Here is a 27,257-nt window from a genome sequence, read left to right as displayed (position 1 = left end):
ACGAGACTGCATATTTTGTAGGAATTAATATGGGTTTAACTTCGGCATTCCAGTGCTTCGTGCCAAAGTTTTCATCAGCTTGTGGAGAAATGAGAAAAACATGAGTGAGTCTTTCATAAAGTTAAATTTATTCATTATCAACAGGATTGTCCTTTCCCTGGAGTTATATCTTTCCTGCTTTCTTGGTTTGAAAATATCCTGTCACCCGTGAAAAGATAGTGATTATAGACTTGAGATGATTTCTCGGGTATCTACACTTAGAACTGCATAAAGCTGGTAATGCTATGTGAATCCTCCAATTTTCTCTTTAAAGATTTTGCTGCACCCATCAATGTATAGTAACAAACCTGCATGTTCTGCACATGTATCCCAGAACTTAAAAGTATATACATAAACCACAACAAACTCCTTAGCTTGTTAACTGTCATCTCATTCACACTTATGACTTTTATTTTCTTCCTTCTCCATTCATACCAATGATGTATCTGTCAACCTCCTTTTTTGCTGTTACAAAAAAAAAAAATTGCTGAACTACAGAATCCTCTAGTCTGAGAACCACGGGGCTGTACTTTGTCAGTTATCATTTATATCAACTCCTTTCCCAATCTTGGGACTTTTTTTTTTTGTTTGCTTTGTACAGATAGTCTTTGAAATTCAAATACCTCAATCTGTGTTTAAATTTAATAATCTTTAAAAAATGTTCATAAGGTAACATATATTATATTCCACATACCTGGTAATTTGGGAGAAGGAGACATTTCTTTTACAAGATCATATCTTTTTGCTTTTCTGTGTCTGTATGATGACTTGGTTTGAAGCATGTTCAGTCCTATAAAGACTCCATACACAACCCCATAGGCTCAAATTAGGTGATGAGTGTGAAGGGGAGGTGGGTGTGAAGAGGAGGGGGGTGTCTTAGCTCAGGCTGCCATAACAAACTTCTGTATCCTGGGTGGCTTAAACACCAAACATTTGGCCGGGTGTGGTGGCTCCTGCCTGTAATCCCAGCACTTTGGGATGCCAAGGCGGGCCAGATCACCTGAGGTCAGGAGCTTAAGACCAGTCTGACCAACATGGCAAAATCCCGTCTCTACTAAAAAAAATACAAAATTAGCTCGGCGTGGTGGTGGGTGCCTGTAATCCCAGCTACTCTACTTGGGAGGCTGAGGCAGCAGAATTGCTTGAACCCAGGAGGCAGAGGTTGCAGTGGGCCGAGACCATGCCACTGCACTCCAGCCTGGGCAAAAAAGAGTGAGACTCTGTCTCAAAAACAAATAAACAAACAAATAAACAAAAAAAAAACCCCAAACATTTATTTTTCACAGTTTGGAGATTGGAAGTCCTAGCTAGAGTGCCGCAGGGCTGGGTTCTTGATGAGCGCCTTATCCTTGTTTATAGACAGCCATCGTCTTGCTGTGTCCTCACATGGTGGAAGGAGAGTGAGCTCTTTGGCCTCTTCCTATCAAGGCACTAATCCCATTCATGAGGGCTCCACCCTCATGACCTAATTACCTCCCAAAGGCCCCACCTCCAAATACCATCACACAGGGATTAGGGCTTCAACATAAGTTGAAGGGGGTGAGTTGGCGGATGGGCACAAATATTCAGTGCATGGCTGGTGAAAGAGTGGAAGGGTAGAAGGATGGAAGAGAAAGATGATGAATTCCCAAGGTATCCTGAGACAGCTCAGATACGGGAAAAGCAAAATCATGGGCAAGAGGCTGCCAAATGTCTAGGGCTGGGAAGGTCAATGATGAGAGCCAAGTTCAAAAAGCAAGGTAAGGAGGATGTGTTAGAGAGATCAGTCATGGTGGATGCTAAAGGGATCCATGAAAGAGTGTTAATGGAGAGTGAGGAGTGCAGGGGCTCCCATCCGCTATGGCCTTCCTACATTACTGGTGGACGGTGCAAGGTCAGAAGCCTGGGTGCAGAGGCTGCATGTGCTCCTGGGCAGGGTAGGGGCTATGACCTAGTAACACTAGTAACAATAGTAGTTAGGGATATGACCTAGTAACATTAGTAACACTGCTATGTTACATACGATGGGAGCCCAGGCTAGAGTGCAGTGGTGCGATCTCAGCTTACTGCCAGCTCCGCCTCCTGGGTTCACGCCATTCTCCTGCCTCAGCCTCCCGAGTAGCTGGGACTACAGGTGCCCGCCACCATGCCTGGCTAATTTTTTGTATTTTTAGTAGAGACAGGGTTTCACCGTGTTAGCCAGGATGGTCTCCATCTCCTGACCTTGTGATCTTCCCACCTTGGTCTCCCAAAGTGCTGAGATTACAGGCGTGAGCCACCGCGCCCAGCCCCCTATTTCCTTCTTTCTGTTGAGAGAGTTTTGCTGGGGAAAGAACTGCAACCTTGCTTCTCACTCTCCACTTTTCCTTTCCCTCCTTCCACCACAAAGGAAGAGGAGTTGTAAAGTGACAGGTCAAATTCTGGACTCTCCTGGGAACATTAGAAAGTAGGCAGATATGCTGCCACCTAGGTGTAACATTCCCTGTGGGGCTGCATGTGTCTTTGTCTTAAACTGCTCAGACTGTTGTCACTAAGTGCCAAAGACTGAGTGGTTTAAACCTTAGAAATTCATGTCTCACAGTTCCAGAGGCTGGGGAACCAAGGTCAAGTTCCTGGCTGATTTGGTTCCTGGCTTGCAGACGGCAGTCTTCTACCTGTGAGCTCACATGGTGAGGGGTGGGGGGTGGGGGGCATGGGAAGGGTGGGAGAGAGAGAGAGAGAGCGAATGAGCTCTGGTGTCTATTCTTATAAGAACAAGAATCCTATATTATCAGGCCCCATCCTAATCCTCTCATTTAACCTTAATTGCCTCCCTATGGGCCCTATCTCCGAATACAGTTCCATCGGTGATTAGGGCTTCAGCATATGAATTTGGACTGAGGACACAGTTCAGCCCATAGCAATCCTCATGGACACATCCCAAGGCAGGCCCTATTTCTGAGTTCCATATAAAGTTGGCAAGAAGACAAGGCAGGTCCCCAAGAGGAAGGCCTCGCCTCATCCTCTAGACCCCATGTCAGGTGAATAATTCAGGCCTGCTTTCAGAATCAGAAGAGGAAATCAAAGTCTGGTTAGACCTCCAGGCTCAGCCATGCTCTCCAGCTCAGTTATCCCAGAAACACCTCCATGGGGGTTATTGAGCACTGCCTCAGATACTAATGAAATAATTCTTTGATTCCCAGCCTGCTGTGTTTCATGGCTTTAAATGCCAGCTATACGCTGATGATTCCAGGATGTGCGCCTGAGCTCGGGATCTGTATATCCATCGGTCTACTCAGCATCTCTTTAGGCCACCTTCTGGGCGTCTCATGCCACGTGCCCTAAGCTTAGCTGCTGACCCTGCCTTTCCAGACCTGCCTTTCCTGCATTGTCCCTGTCTCAGTGAATGGCAAGTCCATTTTTGGGGGGGCTCAGGCTGAACACTTTGGGGTCATTCATGACTTCTCTTTTTCTCCCAAGCTATAATCAGCCAGCTAATTTTGCCAGCTCTGCATCTAAAATATTTCCAGAATCCAAGCACCTCCCACCATTCCTGCTACCCCACTCTGGTCTGAGCCACCATCATCTCTGTGCTGTGGGTCACCGAAGAGCCTCTTAACTGATCTCCCCACCGTCCGAGTTTCTACTCTGTCCCTGCACCCAGCATCATGGTCCATTCTCCATCAGAGCAACTCTGTTAACACACAGGCCAGATTGTATTGCTCACTCCAAACCTTTCAGTGACTTCCCTTCTTTCTCTGTTCTACACGTGCAAATGCATGCACACATGCACACCTTACCATGACTTACAGACTCCACAAGGTCTGGCTCCCTCTTTCCTCTCCGACTTTATCGCGTGGTACTTTCTTCCTTTTTTTTTTCTCACGCATGGTCTCCTGGCTAGTCCTTGAAGGTCCTGCTTCTACCTTGGGGCCTTTGGAATGTGTTCTGTTTCCCTGAATCACTCCTCTCCCAGATGCTCCCATGAAGACCTCCCTCACTTTCTTCAGGTCTTGATGCAGTGAGGTCTTTGTGACTCCTTTCCCTGAAATTTCAACCTTTGACATTTTATATACCCCTTGACTGCTTAATCTTTTTTCTCCCTGGCCTGCCAGTTGTCCTTATCTGATACTGTATGTATTTATTGTCTTGTGTATCGTCTGTCTCTCCAACAGGAATATGAGTGCCCTGCAAAATTTTATCTATTTGCTCACTGGTCCCTAGAACAGTTCTGGCACATATGAGGTGCCCCACAAATATTCGTTGAGACAATGAATGAATTAAGCACACCAAAAGCTGCTTGACACCGTTAGTCATCAAGAAATGCAAATCGAAACCACAGCAAGACACCACTTCATAGTACTCCAGTGGTCATTATCAAAAAAACATACAATGACAAGTGCTAGAAAGGATGGGACGAAATGGGATCCTCACGCATTGCTGGCTGGATTGTAAAATGGTGCAGCCAATTTCCAAAAACAGTTTGGCAGTTTCTTAAAAAATTAAACATAAATTTACTATACCACCCAGCAATTCCACTCCTAGGTATATACCTAAGAGAAATGAAGCCTTTTATCCACACAAAGACTTGTATGCAAATACTCCCACCAGCTTTATTCATAATTGCCCAAAATGGAAACTATTCAAACGTCCATCAACAGGAGAATGGTTAAACAAGATGTGGTATATCCATACCGTGGGATCTTGTTCAACAATCAAAAGGAATGAAATACTGATGCATGCTACAACATGGATGAATCTCAAACACATGCTAAATGAAAGTAGGCAGACACACACACACAAACATATATTGTAAGACTCCACTCATATAAAATGTCCTGGAAAAGGCAAATCTAGAGAGACAGAAAGCAGATTAGGGGTCATCTAGGGATGGAGGTGAGAAGTTGAATTAACTGTAAATGAAGGTGATAAAAATGTTCTAAAGGGGGATGGTTGGTGATGGTTGCATAACTTGGTAGATTTCCTAAAAAATCATTGTATTTAATAATTAAATGCTTAAAAATGGGTGAATTGTGGCCGGGTGCAATGGCTCACACCTGTAATCCCAGCACTTTGGGAGGCCGAGGCAGGCAGATCGCAAGGTCAGGAGATCGACAACATCCTGGCTAACACAGTGAAACCCCGTCTCTACTAAAAATGCAAAAAATTAGCCAGGTGTGGTGGTGGACACCTGTAGTCCCAGCTACTTGGGAGGCTGAGGCTGAGGCAGGAGAATGGCGTGAACCTGGGAGGTGGAGTTTGCAGTGAGCTGAGATCGCGCCAATGCACTCCAGCCTGGGCAACAGAGCGAGACTCTGTCTCAAAACAAACAAACAAAGAAAAATGGTGAATTGTATTGTATGTAAATTATATCTCAATGATGTTGTTTTAAGTAAATGAATGAATGGATGCCCCTTGTGTACAGAGCCCTTAATCAGGAGTCCTGGGAGGTAAGGGGATGGGTGGGGTGGGCGGGAATAAAAGGGGGACATAGGCTTTTCTGGTCCTTTCCTCCTGATCAGCTACATGGATAAAAGCTCCTCTCTGCTCACAGAGTGTGAGCAGAATAGGGATGGGGCAGGAGCTTGGCAAATCCTTGGTGCTCTCAGAGCCATGTGGGCCTCAACACAGAGACAGGCTTAGAGACCAGGCCTCCGACCAAGTCTGAGGAGGGAGGGAGGGAGGGAGGGAGGAGAGGTGGAGGGCTGAGGAAGGTGGGCGGGGGGCACAAAAGGAAGATCTGGAGTCAGCAAAGGCTTCAGAGAAACAGAAGGGCAGCCAAGGGAAGAAATAAAAGCTGCAGAGAGCCTTGGGGCCTCCAAAGGGAATAAGAAGGGCGTTTTACAAATATATCAGGGGAAAAGAGATACTTGAAAGCCGCCTGGCCCATTAATAAATGAGAAGGGAAATAAAATTAATGATGATGATAAAAATGGCTGAGCTGCTGAAGTGCTTTGTAATATTGGTCTTTAACAAGGAAATGAAAAAAATCCTAGGGATGGGCAATTAGAAAGGGACAGAAGGCTTGTCAATATAGTTGATTAAAGGTAGGAAAGAGAATACTTAGAACATTTGGATGACGCCTACCTGGACCAAATCACCATGTCCGGATATAGGCCTTGGGGTCTGAAGGGAATTAGCTGAGGAAATTATTAAACTGTTGGCAGGAATTTTAATTTCATAGATTTGGGGGCAGGGGAGGCAGAATCAATGAAGATTCAGGAGCTGGGGATAGAAAAGGGAGAGGAAATGATATAGGTTGAGCTCCTTTGTTGGGCCAGGCACCAGGCTGAGTGTGTTACACACCTTCTATCATTTAATCCCCACCCCTTCTGCAGCTCCGAGTGGTTACTATGATCAGCCCATTTGACAGGCAGTGAAGCTGAGGCTCAAGAGTTTATGTGACTCTCCAAGATGACTCAACTAGCAGATGGTGGTGCCAGAACTTGAACCCGTATTTTTCTGATTCCGAAGAGGATTCTTTTCCATCTACCAGCTGCTTATTCTGACTCTAAATATTGGATTCCACATCTCAGAAGGAAAGACAACCACCCACCTGCCAATGACCTACTTCTGACAATCCTTTTTTGCCTTGAAGCCTTGGGAGTCTAATGACATAGACAGAGGGTGGTCTTATTTTCACTGTGAGGGGTTTAGAGAAGATTTCAGAATGTGCCTGTTGAGGAGAAAGAAACGAGGCAGAGGTTGAGGAATCATGACATCAGGGTCATCGGGGTTTTCAGTTTCTTAGAGTCCAAAGTCCTTATCATACCGGTGGGAAACAGCCATAGCCAGGCCTGCTGACTTGAGGGCTAAGGCTTTGTTCCCTGCACTGTGTGGCTAAAGGTCATCATTTGTCCTGGTCCCTGGCTTCTATCTTCCACCATCCAGTGTCTGTCTTCGGCTTGCATTCTCAGCATCGGCTCTGTCCCCTTCTCTCTGCTTTTGGTACCATAACCTGTGGCTCACATTAGTGTCTTCTATAAACTTATTTTGTCTCTGTTGCTGTTTTGTTAACCCAGATGCCCGGGGAAAAAAGGGTGGGGAGGAGGTGAGAAGGAGAAGCTCATGAGACTACAAGTGTGAGCCCATTCATTCCTCTCTTTCCTGTCCCACTGGGGTCCTACCATTCTGGGATCCTGTGCATGGGGTGATGGGGACCCACCTGTGATCAGTTGAAATACTGGCCCATTTCTTTACACCCCCTCCCCTAACCCTTTTCATGATGTCTTCTCATGTCCTGTTTACTTCCTTGCTTCCTGACTTTGGGTTTGACCATGTGACTTGCTTTGGTCAAGGAGATGTTAGTAATATGACAGAAGCTTTTATGTGTTTGGGCATCTCCTCTTGTACCTCTCCCACTGCCATAAAATGAGCATATCCCAGCTAGCCCACCAGCCCAGGGTGGGTGACAGATGCTTGGAGGAGGCTTTTCCAGTCAACCCTCCATCTTGCAGCGAGAAGCAGGGCTGTGGCTTGAAGCAGAATTGCCTGGCTGAACTTAGATCACCAAGCCATAGCTGACTTGAATACCTTTGAGAATGAAGGCTAATTTATATGCACCACTGAGACTTTTGTGGCTGTTACACGGCCATAGCTAACGGATACACAAGCCGTCTACACAATGTGTTTGACAGTTCTCCAGTCCCTATCTGAAATCTCTTCTTACTTTAATTCATTAAAGTTAAAAGAAGATTACTGAGCACCCACTAGGTGCCCTTTCCAAGGTTAGGCAGGATGTATGTACAGGTTTTGATTTCTGTCTTTGAGGCGCTCATCCTGGGGGAGTCAGGAAAGCAAACAAATTGTTATGAGATAGGACATCAATGAAAGTATCCTGGAGGAAAAAGGCCTCTGAGTCAAACCTTAAAGTAGGAGGAAGGGGTAGGGTGCTCAAGGTGGAACACACAGGATGCACAAGGGCACAAGGTCATAAAGCAAGCTGGGTTGTTTGTGGAACCTAAGACCATCTTTGTGCTGGAATGTAAACTCCAGCATGGAGAGGCGGGCAGAGCCCAGGCCTGGCTAGGACATTTTACAAGTCCTGGGCCAAATGTTTTTTATAAAAAAAAAAAAAAAGGACATCAACTGTGGCAATTTATGACCAGATGATGAAGTCCAGGGATACTCCATTAAATAAAAAAGTGGCACAAGATGTGATAAACCTCAAAGAAACAAGAAGAGAATAAAAAGACTCTTGGTCCCACTGCTGATGCAATAAACAGCATAATCCAGGCATGGCACAGGCACAGAAGTAATTACACCATGACACCTGCTCCTGCAAGTCAGGCTGGGGTCTGGCAGGCTCTGTGCGGGGCTGCTGATGTGGAGCCCACCCTCGGCTGAGCTGGTGGAGCTGCGGTGGAAAGGGCTGCTGTGCCACCTCCTCCCGCCCAGCTGCTGACCTGGCCCCTCTGCCCGGCACTGCCCTCACCCCACCGTACCCCCAACCCTCTGGAGATGCAGACCTTCCCCTTGGCTCCTCAGGGTGTCGCTGCCCCTCTGACTTTTGTGAGTGTTGCCCGCTCTTTGCAGGGGGAGGTGGTAGGGAGGGGAAGGTGAGCAGGCTAGGGGCCATATGGTGATGAACAGAGCCTCTCCCTTGGGCCCATCCCTCTCCTTCTGACTCCCCCTCCAGGAGTTGGGGAGCCCAGCCCAAGTATGTGTGATTTCAGAGTTAATCTGTCTGCACTAATTAAATATTGACGGCTGTTAAATATTCATGGGGCATTTTAGTTGCCAGGTCTGATGTCTCCAGGCCCTGCTGGCTGCAGCTCTGCGGATCGGCTCTTTCAGCTGGCGGTCACTTTGCGCTCCTGCCCTTCTCCTCCCCCACCCTCTTTCTCTCACCCGGATGTTCCCAGCTGCTCCCTGGGGCCTCCCTGGGTCTCAGGTATCTCTCCTTGCATCTTAGGTCACTTCTTCCCCCACCTTGGGACACCCCCCCCCCCGCCCCCGCCTTTAGCTCACTTGTGTAGAATTCGAGGGGTTGCAGCTTTGGGTTTGGGGGCTTGGTGGGACGAGCAGCAGAGGGAATGTGGCCTGCGGTGTAGGAAGGGCTTAGGCTCAGGTGCTACTGAGAAGCCAGGTGAGTGGCATCCGGCGAGGGCTTCCTTCTGGGAACTTCCATTAGTAGCTAGGAGCGCCAGGCTCTGGGAGGTGCTGGGATGAGGCCGGGAAACAGCACATCTCTTCTCCGCGGAGTGAGGAGGTGCCCCGCAAAGAGGTGGTTCTGGTCCTCAGGAAACACTGTTATGGGGGCAGGGCAGGGGTTGTCTGGTGTACAGCTTGCTGGGGTCGCCCACTAGACTCAACCAGACCGGGGGAGGCAGCACTCAGGGAGGCTCCCCAGAGCGTGATGTCAGGCCAAATCCGAGAGACGAGCAGGAATTAGCCAAGTCAGTAAAAGAGGGTTTGCGAGGAGACGGGTTCCTGTTAAGGGAACAGCATAAGCGAACCGCCTGGACTAGAGGGAGAGGATGGCCCAGCAGCGAATGGCAGGCGTTCTCAGGAGCAGAGGAGAGAAGCGGGCAGGCTGCAGGGGCAGTGTTGCATGCCGGGCTGGGGCTGGGCGTCGGCTGCTTCCTCCTCCTCCCCTCCTCTCCCTCTCGCACTCTCTGATCCTCCATCCCTCCGTCTCCACTCTGACTCCCTGTCTGAGACTCTTTTTGCTCCACCTGGCTGCCTGCCCTGCACTGTCTCACCCCAATAAGTGGTCACCTCTGCCCTTCCTGAAGGAGGGGCGGAGTCAGAGCACACCACCCTGGGGGTGGAGGCAGCAGGAGGTGGCCTCCATGCCCGTCAGGAAGTCAGTTCCTCTCTGTTTTCTTTCCGAGTGTCACGCAGTCCCAAAGCGGGGGTCAGCACCTTCTGAGCCTCAGCACCTCTGATTTTTTTTATTATACTTTAAGTTTTAGGGTACGTGTGCACAACATGCAGGTTAGTTACATATGTATACATGTGCCATGTTGGTGTGCTGCACCCATCAACTTGTCATTTAACATTAGGTATATCTCCTAATGCTATCCCTCCCCGCTCCCCCCACCCCACAACAGACACATGCACACGTATGTTTATTGCGGCACTATTCACAATAGCAAAGACTTGGAACCGACCCAAATGTCCAACAATGATAGACTGGATTAAGAAAATGTGGCACATATACACCATGGAATACTATGCAGCCGTAAAAAATGATGAGTTCATGTCCTTTGTAGGGACATGGATGAAGCTGGAAACCATCATTCTCAGCAAACTATCGCAAGGACAAAAAACCAAACACCGCATGTTCTCACTCATAGGTGGGAATTGAACAATGAGAACACATGGACACAGGAAGGGGAGCACCTCTGATTTTCTGAAGGGCTGTGTGACTCCAGGTAAAGAGGCTGCATTTGGAGCCAGTCAGCAGCATCTAGCCCCGGCTCCCTAAGGCAAAGAGGTGCTATTCAGGCCCTCCCAGGCACCTGGGCTTTGTGCCAGGCTCTGGGCCCAGTGCTGGCCTCACCCTACTGTGTAACTTCCCACCTCAGTGCAGGGGCTGGAGTGTCAGAGCTGGCCCCTCACCCTACTGCATGTGCAGTTCTGGTTATGTGGGGTCTGTGAGGTCCAGGGAGACATGACCAGAGTGACGGTGTGTGTCAGCTCCCCCCCCTCCAAAGGTGTGAAGGCACCTGCACTGAACTTTGGGTCCAAGGGAATCTGAAAATCTAGGCTGCTTCACTTTGGATAATACTAAAAACAACAATATTGATCATAATAATGTTTGTTGAGTGCTGGCTATTGTGTTAAGCACTTTACATGCATGATTTCATTTAATCCTCTCTCAACTCTATAAGCTAGACAGTTTTATTACCCACATCTCACATAGAAGAAAATAGAAATTCAGAGAGGTCGAGAAACCTGTCCATGGTCACACAGGAAAGGATGGAGCTAGAGTTTGAACTCTAGGCAGTTTCATTCCAGAGTCCATGCCCTTAAGGTCTATGCCAGTCTTTTTCAAACTTCCCCAAGACAAAAATTGCCTTGGGAGCCTGCTAAAATACTGATTCCAGCTCCCTCTTGGACCCACTGAATCTCAGTTGGCCGGGGAGTGCCTGGGAAGGGGATGGGTACCAAGTGCAGCAGGGACAGGTGCTGTCTGCCTGTGGGCTGGTGGTCTCTTCTTCCTGGGGACAGAGGGATGAGGGGGGCATCAGCTTAGGATCAGAATCCCCCACCTGAGGAATCTGGCTGCTTTGATGTTTATCACAGTTCTCTTTAAGATGCAGCCTGCTTTGCTGGTGCTAGTAGAGTCGGAAAGAGTTTGTGTTCTCCCTTGGGCAGGAGTTAAAAAGCAGGGGCTGTTAAGCACAGGCCACCTTGATGGTGGTGGCAGCAGCAGAAAACAGAGTGAGGGATGAGAGGAAGGAGAAGCTCAGGGGACACCCACACCCTTTTTGATGGGAATGAAGTCAGAAAGAGCTGCACTGCGGTCACCTCTCACTAGCTGTGAGGTCTCGGATAAGCAACTGTTTGCCTTTGAGTGTCAACATTCTCACCTGCAAAATGGGCTAGTAACATTATTTACCCAACAGCATTATTATAAGCATCAAATGGGATATGTAAAGCACACAACAGTGGTAACTGATCCTTAGAGAGCTCTTACTAAGTGTCAATCATTATTCTGGGTGCTTTGCATATATCAACTCACTTAATCCTCATAACAGCCCTACCAGGCTAGTATTGTTACTATCCTCAATTTCCAGTTGTGAAACTGAGGCATGAAGATATTAACGGACTTAACTGCAGTCCCACAGGAAGTAAGCGGTGAAACTGGGATTTAAGCCCAATGTGTTGGGCTCCAGAGTCCATCCTCTTAACCCTAATAGGTGTCCAATAACTGTCAGTCTCCCTCCCTCCACTTTTCTCAAACTCCAGGGAAATTCTCTGTTCTGTTTTGGACAAAGTCAACTCTTTCTTGGAAGATCTTCTTAGGAAAGCCAACTGGGCTGAGACTGGATTTCTCCCTAGTAAACTCAGGATTTGTCGGAACTCACTCTCTTCATTCACTCATTCATCACTCCATAACTACTTATTGATCACTTACTGTGTGCCGTGCCCTGGAGAGACAGCAGTGGACAAATTAGACTAAAAAAAAAAATCCCTTTCCCTAGTGAGACCACAATTGGACATAGAAAGGCAACAGATAAGAAACTACAACATCTAGTAGATCAGTTTGCCATAACTGCTATGGAAGAAAATAAGCCAAGAAACAGGGCTGGGAGGGGAAGCTGGGGAAGGTCCATGGAACATCAGGAATAAACATGAAGCGGGCTTGTGCCTGGCGTGTCTGGAGGAAGAGGGAACCAGCATGCTGGGGTGTGGGCTGGGGGTTGTTGGAGATGTCAGAGAGGCGATGATGGAGGGAGTGGAGCATGGTGGGCCCTGTTGGCCTTGTAAGATTTTTGGTCATTGTCTGAGAGAGATGGAAGCCATTAGCAGACTCTTCACTAGAGAAGTGGTAGGACCAGAGTCCTCATGGCTTAGGATTCCTTCAGCTGCCGTGAGAATAGACAAAGGGCAAGAGGTGAAATCAGGGGATCAGTTTGGAGGCTGCTGCCATAGATAGCCCAGGTGACAGATGATGGTGGCCTGCACCAAGGTGTTAGCGCAGATAAGATGCTCATGCGGGTTAGAGGTAGAGCCTGGAGTATCTGCTGACAGACTGAATATAGGTTAGTGAGAGGAAAAGTGAGGCCAAGGTTTTAGGCCTGGACCATTGGAAGGATGGAGTCACCATTTGCTGAGATGGTAAGGACTGGGATAGAGTGAGTTTGGGGAGGAGGGAAGGGAAGGATCCCAGGAGTTCAAGTTTGGCTGTGTTAAGCTTCAGAGGCCTATTAATTAGATCTTCACATGGAGATTCAGGTAGGTGATTGAAATACATGTATGGCATTTAAGAGATGTGTGGGCTAGATATATAAATTTGGGAGTTATCAGCATGTAGATGATTTTTAAAATCATGATCCTAGATGAGAACACACAAGGAGAATAGATAGGAAATAGAGAATAGGTCTGAGCACTGAGCCCTGGGAACAGCAATATTTATAGATCGGGGAGATGACAAGGAACTAGCAGGAGAGACTGTGGCCCTGTCACCGCAGCCCCAAGAGCCAGGCAAGGACCCCTGGCTCTGGCATTGGGATCTCCTCTTTCCTGGACTCCGTTGTGTGCTTTTGGCAGGCCTTTTCTGCCCTCTAGTGGTCATGACTGAGAATGCATCCAACCGAGCTGGCACCCTAGCCACCTTTCTGCGTTTCTTCTTGTTCAAGTCACTCATTCATTCAGCAGACAGTTTCTACTAAGCACCTACTATGTGCTGGGAACTGACAAGCACAGAAGATGATAAAATACTCTCTCAGAAATCACCACATAGTGTAAAAAAAGACGCACAAACACAACATTTAGACAGTGGCTCTCAGCTGGGGATGATTTGGTTAGTATCTGGAGACATTTTTTCAGTTGTTACAATCAGATGGGGGTAGGGTGGGTTGCTACTGGCATCTGGTGGGTAGAGGCCAGGAATGTTACAAAAGATTCTGTGATGCGCAGGACATCTTCCTGCAACAAGGAATTATCTGGCCCAAAATGTCAATAAGTGCCAGGGTTGAGAAGCTGTGATCCAAGAAAAGGTGTCAGGTGCTATAATAAAGGTATTAGCCAAGCCGTTTGGATGCAGAGGCAAAAGGAATTAAACTTGTTTTTGGGCCGTAAGGAAGGCTATAATTCTTAGAAACTGTGAGGTTTCAACTTGTCTTGAAGGACGAGTAGAGATTAGCCAGGTAGAAAGAAGAGGGATGAAAAAATAGATGATGGAAACATTACTCAAATCATGTCACAAAAGAACCTGGCTTGGCCAGGAAAAGCACAGGTCCAGGTGTATCTGGGGCAGCCTCAGTTTACACAAGGTGTTCCCGCATAACTATTCATTGAGTCCCCTCTGGGCTTCAATGTGTCCCAGTTTGGAAGATAGAATCTATGGCCACCTTGTGCCCGGCAGGCTCCGGGCAAACAGGATGAGGAAGAATAGTCTTGCCTCAGAGAGGCCAGAGGAGAGGCTGCCATAAAGACCCAGGGGCAGATGTCTAGAGCAACCCGCCCAGTGCTTTGCCTCCCATAATCCCAGTCTTCAGGAAGCACTGGAGACAATAGGGCCAAGGGCTATGGGTAGGGATAAGGAGACACGAGAACTCTCCCTTCCAAGGCACGGAGGCCTGGAGAGATGATCTGGCCTCTCTGGGCCTCTGCTGGGCCTTCCTCCTCCTACCCTCTCAGACAGAGGTAATGATTGGGTTGTGTGCACAAGCCAGGGGTAGGGGTCAGGCAGGAGGATGGGCTTCTGTCTGAACTCTGCTGCTGACAGCTATGTGACCTAGGGCACATCACAGCTCTTTCTGGCTTTGGTTTCTCCATCTGTCCCAGGAGCAGGTGGACCAGATTGTCTCCAAAGGCCTCTCAGGCTCTCACCTCCTATGTTCTTGCACATTCTAATCCTGAACCCCCTTGAGGAGTGGATTCTGCAGCCAGATTGTCATGACTCAGTGCCTCAGTGATCAGCTAGTAGGGGCCACTTTCTCTTCCCAGGACCTGGGTCTTTAATGAAATGAGAACAAGTCTATCCACTTAGAGAAGGCAGTGCTTCGGGGCATGGGTCATCAAGACCACTGCTGAAATCTATGGACTGTATTGGACCATACAGCTGTGGACTCCCAAGGAGCTGTTAGCCCTCTGCCTGGGACCCCCCACAAGGCTGGGTCAACCATGGCAGAGCCAAGCATGAGAGAGCCTGGTACATGTCTGAGGGAGCTGTTCAGGGCTCCTGTCTGCCCAGCCGTGTTTCTGGAGAGAGGGCAAACAGGCTTTGCCACAGAAAAAGCAGAAAGGGCGCAGCCCCAAGAGCCATCAGAGAGAACACTCTCTTGCTATTTGCAGATGGCTTAACTCGAGTGGGCAGAAATGACAGCAGATGGGCTGAGGCAGGCCTGAGCGGGAGCAGCATGGCTAACAAGACAAACTCCCAGCTATGTATAGTGATTTACAGCTTAAAGAGTGTGTACCCACAGGCAGGGCAAAGTGGGGAGATGGTCCCCATGAATGGGACTGAAGTTCAGAGAGGTGAATTCCTTGGGCAAGTACAAGGCTGAGTATGCGGGGGCAGAACCTGGACATTATGATATTATTTGGGTCTGTTTCTGGGACATCTATTCTGAAGCCTTTTCATTGACAGAGGAGAGTGCTGAGGTCTGGAGAGACAAATGGATTTGCCACAGGTCATCCAGCTACAGTGAAACACCTGGAACCCGATTGGATGCCTGGCAGAGGAGCAGTCATACACCCTCATTCCTCCTTTACTTCAAAAACTATCCATCCACGTACATTACACTGTCTGTGTACAACATCGCCAACAGCTAACATTACGCAGAATTTTATTCCATTGTAAAAATAACACTTACAAAAGTTTAGAAAATAAAGCAAAGTAGAAAGAAAAAATTATCCCGCTTGCCAAGCATTAACTTTTGGGTACATTTACTTTTCTTTGTTTTGCCTGCTTGTAATTCTTTTTTCCCCCTTTTTCACATAGTTGAGTTCATACTGACTGTACAAATTCTCCATATCCTGATTTCACTCACACTATCATAAGTGTTTTCCATGTTATTACACGTACTTCATAAATGCTGTTCTGAAGGCAACAAGCTCACTGAACCGACCCCTGATTGTTGGACATTTAGACTGTTTTCAATTTTTCACTGTTACACGCAATGCTTCAAAGAACAGCTTCATGTAAGATGGCTTTGAATGTTTAGGATAATTTTCCTGGGCTGGCATATTAGAGAGAATACTTTTAACATGTCTACAGGCTGGCATATTAGAGAGAATAGTGGTAACATGTGTGCCAGGGTCTCTTATGGTTGGCTCTGCCATGGTTGACCCAGGCTTGTGGGGGTCCTAGGCAGAGAGCTAACAGATCCCCTTTCCTCTTTCTGCAACCTTTCCTGAAGTCTATGATGATTTCTTATTCTCACTTACTCCCTTAGAACCCATGAGTTCTTTCCCAAGACAATTCCATTAAAATTTGTCCCATTAGCCAGGACACTCTTTCCACTGAAAGTGAGTGAAAAAAAAATTACCTCCAAAATTATATTGATTAAAAATGAAATGTATTGGTTCAATAACCTGAAAAGTCTCTAGCTTCAGGTGTAACTGGATCCATGTGCTTAAGTAATGTGATCAGGGCCTGGATTTATACTGCCTCTCAGCCTGGTTCTGTTGGCTCAATCCTCAAGCCCTACATACTGGCAAAATGGTTGTAGATCAGTTTCAGCGTGCCTGTTTCCAGGCCTGCAGAAAAGAGCAAAGTTTTCTCTCTGGTACCTCCTACATAAGCCCCAGAATTCACTCCGATTGGACTAACTTAGATTGCTCACTCTCTCCTGAAATAATCAATCACCAGAGACATGGCCTCACCTTAAGCTCAGAGAGCTTGGATAAAATACTTTGTGCGTGGAGCTGGGGTTAGCTCATTTGTCCCAGAGCCCATAGGTTAGGAGAGGTGATTCCTGCAAAGCGTGTGTGGGGCATTAGTTACAAGAAAAGGGAATGGATCCTGGAGGGAGAAGGAAACACAAAACAACAGCTGCCGCTCTATTTGGGGAAAGACTCTTGTCTCAGAAGCACAGCATTTTGGACCTGAAGAGTCCTGCAAACACATCCCCCTCCTATCCCAAAGAGAAGTCCCCATAAAGGCTACCCAGGTCTCCTCTCTAAAATGCTGCACAGCTCCAGGGGAATTTGGCTCCAGTCCAGGTACTGAGTTATCCCCTACTTTGTGACTTATGTGAATTGTTCTGTTAACCAATTTCAGGCCCTGAAAGCAAAATAAGAATTTCAACTATGTGTTACTTAAGAGGATATTTATTACATTTAACTGAAATGGTCCCTTTCTAAGAAGAGAACTCTATACGCCAGCCACAAGCAAAATGGCACCTGCTGTTGAGCTGGCTGGGTGGGCCTCCCAGCAAGCTGCCTTCCCTGTCTCTGCTGCCCAGTCACTCAGAGCTGGTCTTGACCTTTGGGACAGCGTGCAGCTCATATGGGCCTAGCAGATCATAGCCCAGGTAGCACAGGGATGGATCTTCTTGTCTTGTAGTTCCTACAGCATTTTGTGTGACACCATGTTTTTCTTTCTGTAGCCCGAGGAGGCTGCCATTCAAACAGCCACCAATTCTCCCTGGCTGGCGAGACCCAAGTGTATAATAGCATCATGTTTCTAATGGTCACAGCAAAGAAGGATTCAGTCAGAGTCAAAGCTGATGGCCACAGTTTAAACTGTTTGCCATCTGAGTGAGTTAGGGTAATTCTTGCTGCTGTAACAAATAGAACCCAATGTAGAGGCTCAGATGCTACAGAACTATGTTTCTTGCCTATGTGAGAGGATTTATTCTGCTATAGATGCTTGTTTCTTGCCTCAGGTCAGCAGGGCACTGTCCTTCAAGTTGTCTCTGGGTCCCAGGCTGCTGGCTGCTTTGCCACCTTTAGCTAAGGGCTTCCAAGGTGACCCCAAGGTTGTCTTTATTTCAGGCAGCCCAGAGAGGAATACGAACAAAGAGGAGTCAAGTGGGGGTTGTGTATAGGGCAGTCCTGGAAGTGGCACTGATTTCTGCTCCTCTCCCATGGGTCAGGGCAGAACTTAGTCACAAGGCTACATGTGACTTCAAGAGAGACTGGGAATACAGGCCGGGTGCAGTGGCTCACGCCTGTAATCCCAGCACTTTGGGAGGCTGAGGCAGGAGGATCACTTAAGATCAGGAGTTCATGACCAGCCTGGCCAACATGGTAACACCCCATGTCTACTAAAAATACAAAAATTAGTCGGGCATGGTGGCGTGCACCTGTAATCCCAGCTACATGGGAGGCTGAGGCAGGAGAATCACTTGAACCCAGGAGGCAGAGGTTGCAGTGAGCCCAGATCACGCCACTGCACTCTAGCCTGGGCAACAGAGCAAAACTCCATCTCAAAAATAAAAAAAGAGAGAGAGAGGCTGGGAAAACAGTCTAGCTATGCAGCTGGGAAGAAGTAGGGAGCACAGATTTTGGTGAGCAGAGAGCAGTCTTTGTCGCACAATCTCAATCCAAATTCCAAGCCTGAATGAAAAGGGACCATTCCAAGGGGAGAAGGGAAAGTATGAGTCCATGTCCAGAGAAGAAAGGTGTGGGCTAGAGGGTGGCCAGGCAGCCAAGCAATCCATTGATCATCTGCCATTGCAACTGGGCTGGCATATTAGAGAGAATACTGATAACATGTGTACCAGGGTCTCTCATGGTTGGCTGGGTGGGCCTCCCATTGAGACTCCTCTCCAGCCGTCCCTCAAGTCCGGGTACAAGGCCCTCCCCTGGTTACCAAGAATCACTCCCAAGGCAAAGGCAAGGGGCATAAGCCCTGGAGAAGAATTTTTGGATCAGTGCACCCCACTTTTTGCTCCTCACACACAAACACTACACATAACCTGCAGACATCATGATAGAATCATCTGGATACATTATGAAATTTCAACCCAACTGCTCAGGAGGTCTGAGGCTTGTAGGGTGAGAGAAAGTGTGATTTGTCACTCAGAGACAGACTGAAACTGGAGGATGGATTTCTGATAACACAGTGTGATCAATGTATAGCATTTTCTGACTTCGGTTAACAACACTTCAGCTGTTGTTACTCAATCTTGGCAGCTCACTTCACATTAACGTTCATTTCCAAAGGATCATCTCAGATTCAAGTATCTTTCACAGACTCTTAGCCCATTCAGCTGGCAATAATTATTGCCTTGTTGCTCAAGGTGAAGTTCTACTTGTTGCTGCGTGACAACTTCCACAAGTGGGGGCTAGCTTCTTAGGTGGGCACCTCTCACCCCCACTTCTGTGCAACATGGCCCCCCAAAGCATTATTGGTCTCATAAAACATTATATCTCTCCAACCATGAAAGGCTTCTGACTCCGATTTCTCCCCTGAATCTATTCCTGGTCTTCTGAGAATGGCAGTGAGGGAGGGCTGCTTTCATTTGGATTGCTTTGCTTGCTTCCTGGTTATGTGCTAGGCAATGCTATCGGCAGCTTAGGTCATCTCAGCAGAGAGAGGGATTTGTTTTCAAAGTCATGAGTTCATGCTGATGTGCTGGTAATCACACCATTCCACTAAGCCTCTTCCTTTGTCATTCTTACCTGAGAACCTCTTGATTCATGTCCTCGTTCCCTTTCCGAAGCTTCCAGTTTTCCTCTCTTGCATACACTACGTTCTAAATGCTAAGCTACACATCGTCAAATCAAACTATATGTTAAGCTATAATAGCACCCACAGCTTTCAAAACATCAACATTCAAATGGCAACTTGTGGCTACCTGCTGCCATGATTTCTTACTCACGACACTCCGCACACCACCTATTGGTTAATATGAACTTGAGCTGGGGGCTTGCATTCCTGCATTTACTTTCCCCACTTTACTCAATTTATTAACAACAGTTTCCATATCCAGCACTTTCAGGAAACCAGTAACAGGGAAATTTCACCTAAGGCTCTACGTCTCCTTTCTGATATGAAAGTGTTCTTTCAGGAAAGAACACTCTGCAATGAATAAGATATGAACTATATAAAATAACAAGAATCCTTTCCAGTTTAAACCAGCCTTCAGAATAATTCTATTCACACAGCATACGGCACAACATGAGCATTTTTACCCAGGGCAAACGGCCTTGCATGATTTCAGCAAGGAAGTGAGGCTGCGCGTGGCAGAGGAACGGGGGAGGAGCGGTTTGTGGGAGGGTGGTAGTGAAGGGAAATGTCAGGGGTGAGTTGGTTCTGGGAAGGCAGCCACTGGGTTCTGGGTCCCATGAAAGAAGTATCCTAGGCTATAGACTGCAGATCTATTGGGATGGAGAACACACACACACACACACACACACACATACGCACACACACACACAAACACACCCCAGATCTATACGGTCACAGCCTGTGCAATGCCATTCCCTCTCCCTAGAACAATGTTCTCCTCCATGTTTGCCCCACCTGTGACTTATCCTAATCCTGCATATGAAGATCTGTAGTGACGTCTAGGCCCCCTCCCCTTTCTATATGACACCCTATCTATACCTCTTCCCACACTTGATCATTTTGCGTATGTGTGTGTGTGTCTGTCTGTCTGTCTATCTTCTCATTTGACAACAGAGCCCTCCGCAGTAGGAAGCATTTCTTTCTCATCTTAATATCCTTAGCATCTGGTGTGTGGTCAACACTCAATGAATGTTGAATGAATGACTAAAATTAGCATCCAGCCTATCATGAAACCTTAATGAACATTAAGTGAATTAAGCCCCATCCAAAGTCTCTTCTTTATCAATATCCAGGAAGGCCTTGGATATGCACACTAATGATGACTATGCATATTTCATAAAACTGTTTCCAGAACCTACCACGCCCCCCGTATTAGTCATGTATAGTAGCACAGTGTTATTCTATTGTGTTAACACATTTCCCTTTGCCTGGTCAGCCCCTTCTTGTTTGGCCTTTGTGTTGTTGGCAATTTATAGTTATTATAGAAATAATGCTGCTATAGATGTGTTTTTCTTTCTTTGGAGCTAACACTGTAGGATTTTTTTTTAACCAAAGAAGGAATTACCGGGTCAGAGCCTCTCAACAGCAGTGTGGCTCTCATTCATGTTGCCTGATTGCTTATGGAAATTTGTCCAGTCTTTCTAAAAGGCAATGCTGAAGGATGTGTTTCCACTGGCTGCCTATCCTGGGTTTTATCATACTTATTTTTGTGGCTTTAGTAGGCATGTAACAGGACCTGAAAGTTGCCTGGATCTAAATTGTATTTTATAGCTGGCAAGACCGCGCCTATTTCCACGTGGTGATTTACTATCTCCATTTCCTGGTTTAATTTTGTTCATCTCCTTTGACCACTTATCAGGAAGAATCACATAACGGCCTATCCATTATCTGTTTTGGGCAGTAAGCAGGCCTGGGAGGGAGAATGAGACAGACGTAACGGATGCCGTAGCTTTCCTTTTGGTATTTATTTTTATTACATTGCAATGCAAACATTTTTATTCTCACATATTTGAACCCATCTATCAGAGCCCTGATGGTATCTTTTTCTTCAATAGCCAGGAATTTATCTCCTTATCAGCAGCAGGGGTAACAATGCCAGTTCCTTGTCTCCAGGTTTGTCACAGATTAGCAGTACGATATAGCTGAACTTGACAGGTATGCTGTATGAATTTAAATTAACTCTCCCCTGGCCTGTTAGCCAACTGTCCCCGCGATGCTTATTAAATACCAATCTCTTTCTCCAATATGCTCCTTGGCTGGCCTAACGTTGGTTTTGCCAGAATTCAAATCCATCTCAGGAATCTCTCTTCTGGTGACCTTTGTGGTTTTTAACTCAGTACAGGATGGTTTCAGTGATTGACAATTCACATCTTAATCACTCAGGAGGGATCAGCTATCACTGCCATTAAAAGACAAATGCTTTGATGGTTCTTTACCTGGAAGAATAAGCATCCTACACTCAGAGCTGTCAAATTCTATTAAAGGACTCAGAAGAATTTACATTGGTATTGCACTAACTCTATATATTGACTTTGGAACATAGCATATGTACTTAGGGATTACAATTAGACCAGAGCTGGAAAGCTCCCCAAAGACCTCAGAGCTTTAGACAAGGGAAAAACTCAAGTTTTCTTCAAATGAGTCTGGCCTGGGGAATGTCCCAAGGCTGATCCTTCTCTGTAATGTCATTTTTCTCCAGCCTTCCCCCACCCCCATCCCAGGAAATTGGTTTCGATATCCAGAGAGAGAGAAAACCAAAAGGGAATCTTGACTGTACTCTAAAAGTCCCGTGGTAAATATGTTGGTGGGAGGGTGATGGGTTGGGCAGAGGATGACAATAGAAGATTCACAGCTCCTTCAGTCAGTCTGGAGCTCACAGAACATGCTTTCCACCACTTCAGTGCCAGTATTTTCAATTCCCTTGGCTCACTGTCCTTTGGTTTTGCTCTCCTAGCAAAGCCCCAGATCAGAATCTATCCAAATGTCCAGCACCGCCTCAGTCACACCTGGGCTGCTCAGCACTCTCAAAGGAAGATCACACAGCCGCATGAACTGCTGCTGCAGAAAGTGTGCAGCGTCCAAGCTCAGTGAGGCTGGGGATCCTCTGGTGCTTCCACCATCCCCATTCTCTTCCCAACCCTGTCTTTCGTTTCTCCTCCCGGTCACACTGGGATCCTTGCACATGTGTGGATCTATTCCTCCTGGAGCCTAGTCAGGAAGGAACCTCACTCTCCTGATTATACAGGCTCTGTCCTGGAGCCTCAAACTCATCTCTACTGGCTCCTTCCCATCAATACTTAATATAATCTACTGTCTTCGTTATTATAAAACTCTCTTTTAACCCTGCAGCTACTTCTAGCTGCTGCCTTCTTTCATCTCCCCTTCACTAACTCTGGACTATCCTTGCTGTCTGGTTCCTTCAATCTCAACTGACTTCTCAACTCGTTGCCTTAAGGATTTCACCCCATCACTCCACAGAGATGATTGTTTTTAAATTTCTAATTAAGCTTTTTTTCTATTTAATAGAAACCCTTTTCTCTGACTACATACTTACTTTCGTTTTTTAAAAAATAAACTTTTATTTTAGCTTTAGGGGTATATGTGCAGTTTGTTATATAGGTAAACTGTGTACATGTCACAGGGGTTTGTTACATAGATTTATTTCATCACCCAGGTACTAATCCTAGTACCCAATAGTTATTTTTTCTGGTCGTCTCCCTCCTCCCAATCTCCACCCTCAAGTAGGTCCTGGTGTCTGTTGTTCCCCTCTTTATGTCCACGTGTTCTCATCATTTAGCTCCCACTTATAAGTGAGAATGTGCAGAGGTTTTCCATTCCTGTGTTAGTTTGCCAAGGATAATGACCTCCAGCTCCATCCATGTTCCTGCAAAGGTCTGCCATTAATGGGCATTTAGGTTGATTCCATGTCTTTGCTATTGTGAATAGTGCTGCAGTGAACATACACATGCAGGTATCTTTATGGTAGAACAATTTATATTCCTTTGAATATATACCCAGTAATGGGATTGCTGAGTTGAATGGTAGTTCTGCTTTTAGCTCCTTGAGGAATCGCCACACATCTTTCTACAATGGTTGAACTTATTTACACTCACACCAACAGTATATAACCATCCCCTTTTCTCCACAACCTTGCCAGCATCTTATTTTATTGATGTTTAAAAAACAGCCATTCTGACTGGTTTGAGATGGTATTTCACTGTGGTTTTTATTTGCATTTCTCTAATGATCAGTGATGCTGAGATTTTTCTTTCATATGCTTGTTAGCCACATGTATATCTCCTTTTGAAAAGGGTCTGTTAATGTCCTTTGTCCACTTCTTAAAGGGGTTGTTTGGTTTATTTTCTTGTAAATTTATTTAAGTACCTTACAGACGCTGGATATTAGACCTTTCTTAGATGCATAGTTTGCAAAAATTTTCTTTCATTCTGTAAGTTGTTTACTCTGTTGATCGTTTCTTTTGCTGTGCAGAAGCGCTTTAGTTTAATTAGATCCCACTTGTCAATGTTTGCTTTTGTTGCGATTATTTTTGGCATTTTTGCCATGAAATCTTTGCCAGTTCCTATGTCCAGGATGGTATTGCCTAGGTTGTCTTCCAGAGTTTTTATAGTTTGGGGTTTAACATTTGAGTCTTTAATCCATCTTGAATTGATTTTTGTGTATGGTGTAAGGAAGAAGTCCAGTTTCAGTCTTCTGCATATGGCTAACCAGTTACCCCAGCACCGTTTATTGACTAGGGAATCCTTTCCCCATTGCTGTTTTTGTCAGCTTTGTCGAAGATCAGATTATTGTAGCTCTTTTTTTGGCTTCCTGTCCCAGCCCAGGCCTCTAGCATTGGTGTTCCTCAAGTTCTGCCTAGCCCCTTCGTTCCCCTCACTCATCATTCTTGTTCTTGTGGCTTCGGTGGTGAGTTAGCCACATGTGGACCCGGCTGGCTCTCTCCTGAGTTTCAGAGCCCTCACATGAGCTCTGGAACCTGAATGTCTGTGTATGGAACTGCCTTTGCCACTATGTGCTGTGTGACCTTGAGCAAGTTACTCAACTTCTCTGTACCTTAGTTTCATTTCTCCTGAGGTTATTGTGAGGGCTTAGTTGAGTTTTTGTTATTACTGTTACACAGTCAACTGCCTGTTGAATGTTGTCTCCTTCACATGTCCCAAAGACATATGGAATGTGACTAGCCTGAATCTAGTTCGCCTCCATCTCCACCCATCCTTGCAACCATCATCAAAGGAATGTCTTCCTTTCCCTTTGGTGAAGGATGCCACTGAAGTCCTGGACCACCTGGACTGTCCTTCTCTCTTCAACCCTGACCAATCAATCACCAAGTCCATGTATCTACCTCCTCGACATCTCTCTTCACCCCTTCCTACCCACACCCCCAGCCCCCACCCTTACTCTGGCCACCACCATTTCTCGTTTAGGTTTACTGCACGAACTCTTTGGCAAGACCCTCTTGTTCTTAAACTCCAAGCCCCTTGGCATGGTTCACAAGTTCCTATTTGCCTGGCATGGTGGCTCATATCTGTAGTCCCAACACTTTGGGAGGCTGAGGTGGCAGGATTGCTTGAGCTCAGGAGTTCGAGACCAGGCTGGACAACATAGTGAGACTCTGTCTCTACAACAAAATACAAAAATTAGCCAGGCGTGGTGGTATGCACCTGCAGCCTTAGCCACTCGGGAGGCTGGAGGCAGAAGGATCACCTGAGCCCAGTTTGAGGCTTCAATAAGCCCTGATGCTGCCACTGCATCCAGCCTGGGCAACAGAGCAAGATCCTGTCTCAAAACAAAAAAACAAAACAAAACCAAGTTTCTGTCTGGTCTGGTGCTGCTTGTTTCTCTTTGTGCTCCTTCACTGCCTAACATCCAGCCACATCACTCCTTTTCTTGCACTCACATGTTCTCTGGTGTTCCACCTGCTGTTCTCTCTGCTTGGAACAGTCTTCTTCCTGTCCCTTTCCAGGCATTGCTAACTCCTTATCTTTGCGGTCTCATGCTAAAAGCCATATCCTGGACAGCTGGTCCACCCTTTCAATGGGAGAAGAGGTGCTTAGACCTAAGTGCTCTCCAGCACCCTGTATTTCACCCATGACTGGGCCTCCATCACCTTCTTGGGAAATCCATATTTCCCACAGAGGAATCATGACCCTGTTGTTCACTCCTGTATGTCCACTGCTTGGCACATAGCAGATACACCATAAATATTTGCTGGAAAAGTATCACATATTTTTGACAATATGCATACTATCTCCATGTTCTTCAATTAATTGCCCTACTCAACAGTTGGTGCGGGATATTGGGTATCCTTCTCTCTCTTGTTCTCTCTCCTCTAAATAACTCTCAGTACTTGCCATTAAGAAGCTGAGTACAGCTGTGGAGAGGGATGAGGCATCAGGTAATGATGATGGAAATAACACAAGCTGATCTGTGTGTACAGGAGTCAATGCTGTGGAATAGGGGCTGGGGAGAGAATGGGCAGATACTTCCTGGAGGAATTGACTCTGAGCTGAGTTTTTAAAATAATAAAGAAGAACTGGATAGGGAAAGAAAGAGGGGAAAGATGCTCAGACTCTTCTATGCGCCAAATAGCAGCTAAGTAGGCACAACCCTTATGTCTGTTTCCACCAACAATTTTCATACCCATGATCAGCTCCATTTTATTGAAAGATTGTGATGCACACCAGGGACCTGGGATACTGAGGACTGTGCCTCCTTCTAAACCTCTCTGTGTCTTCACTCCTCTAAATAACCCAGCTGGTCCTGCAGGGCAAACACTGCCTAGAGGATGCTACTAAGATCAAGTGTCCAGTACATGCCTGTCTTCACTCATGATTTCCCTAGGCAAAAGAATGGACTCCGAGGAGGTGAATTGTTTGTCTAAGGCTGCACAGAGCAAGTTAGAAGCCCAGCCAGGTTCAACTCCAAAGACCTGCTCTTTATGGCCTTTGTTAAGGGTGATTTGTTTGTCTGTCTGTTTGTTTGTTTTTGATGAGGGCTGGGGTAGAGCAGCAACACACAACACCCAACACCCAAATCTTGTACTTGACCAGTGAGTTTTTATAGATAGATTTTTCAGGAAATCTTTATGGATAGATTTTTTACTTACTATGATGCAAAGACATTTATTCAATAAGAAAAGACAGAAACATTCTGCTTTATGTATTCTAACACTACAGTTCGTTCAATGAAGTTAGAAATAAACAAGAAGGGGTTATCCAGTCACTTAGAAGTTAAAAACACTCCTAAATAATGCCATGGAAAGGGAAGATATTCAGAACAGAGTATTTAAAGAACAAGGATGTAAACACAGCATATCATATAAATTTATAGGATGCTGTCACGCTGGTACTTAAAGAAAAAACTGTTGCTTATGATGGCATCTATTAGTAAGAAAGAAGAAAAACTGGGAATTAAGTCTCTACTTAAATAACCTAGAAGGGGTACAAATTATTTAGTGAAAGGAAAGTGGAAAGAATAATAAACCCCAAAGCAGAAAGGAATAAAACAGACATAAAATTAAATTTGGAGCACAAGCTAAACCAATGCCTCCCAAATCTGACAATATATTGTAATTACCTGGGATGCTTGCTTGAACCACAGATTCCTAGGCAGGAGCAAAGACTTACTGAGTGAGACTCACTGGGACCTGGGACCTGGAACCTGGGATCTGTATTTCTGACAAGTTCCCCTCGTGGTTGTTATGCAGCAAGCTCAGCCATCTTTCTGTCCTTCTGGTGTTGGGAGCCAGGCCTACACGGATTCTCTCCTGTGAAGCTTTAGGGGTTCTTGGCCACTGTCACTGTTGGTGACCTTTATTCTCTTCTCCATCCATATAGTGGGACCAGGTAGGTCACAATGGCACTCTGGCCTTTGGACCTAGTTGGTTAGTCCAAGAGTGGACACTTGACTCTAACTGGGCCCAAGTGCCTCTTTCCTGGGACTTTCAGATTTGGAACCAAGAGAGCTGTGCAGCCTCCCTTTCATAGCCCTGATTGTTATATGTGAAGCAGTGGGCTCCCTGACACCGTATTTCCCAGCCTGTGGAGTGGAAAAGAGGAGGAAGCTGATCGTCAGAGAGAGAAGGTTGAAGGCATCATATAGA

The 27,257-nt window shown here is 46.3% G+C and overlaps 1 long non-coding RNA gene across 1 annotated transcript, besides 2 other annotated features; it reads right to left on the bottom strand.

Annotated features, from left to right (window-relative positions):
* Positions 7,897 to 8,398: an enhancer, noted in NCBI's record as "H3K27ac-H3K4me1 hESC enhancer chr17:32752329-32752830 (GRCh37/hg19 assembly coordinates)". NCBI's record gives its function as "activates a minimal SCP1, AML or CMV promoter by ChIP-STARR-seq in primed H9 embryonic stem cells {active_cell/tissue: H9 hESC(primed)}" and the evidence as "EXISTENCE:reporter gene assay evidence [ECO:0000049][PMID:30033119]".
* Positions 21,088 to 26,936, bottom strand: LOC124903986 (uncharacterized). The gene is made up of 2 exons (XR_007065722.1): positions 26,732 to 26,936; positions 21,088 to 21,573 (listed from the first exon to the last, which is right to left on the bottom strand). It is a non-coding gene; the product is annotated as an uncharacterized LOC124903986 (long non-coding RNA).
* Positions 23,105 to 23,860: an enhancer, noted in NCBI's record as "NANOG hESC enhancer chr17:32736867-32737622 (GRCh37/hg19 assembly coordinates)". NCBI's record gives its function as "activates a minimal SCP1, AML or CMV promoter by ChIP-STARR-seq in primed H9 embryonic stem cells {active_cell/tissue: H9 hESC(primed)}" and the evidence as "EXISTENCE:reporter gene assay evidence [ECO:0000049][PMID:30033119]".
* Positions 26,937 to 27,257: the final 321 nt, after the last annotated feature.

Source organism: Homo sapiens, chromosome 17, assembly GCF_000001405.40.
Source record: "Homo sapiens chromosome 17, GRCh38.p14 Primary Assembly".
NCBI classification, from domain to species: Eukaryota; Metazoa; Chordata; class Mammalia; order Primates; family Hominidae; genus Homo; species Homo sapiens.
The sequence above is the reverse complement of the archived record's forward strand: the minus strand, read 5'-3'. Positions and strand labels throughout refer to the sequence as shown.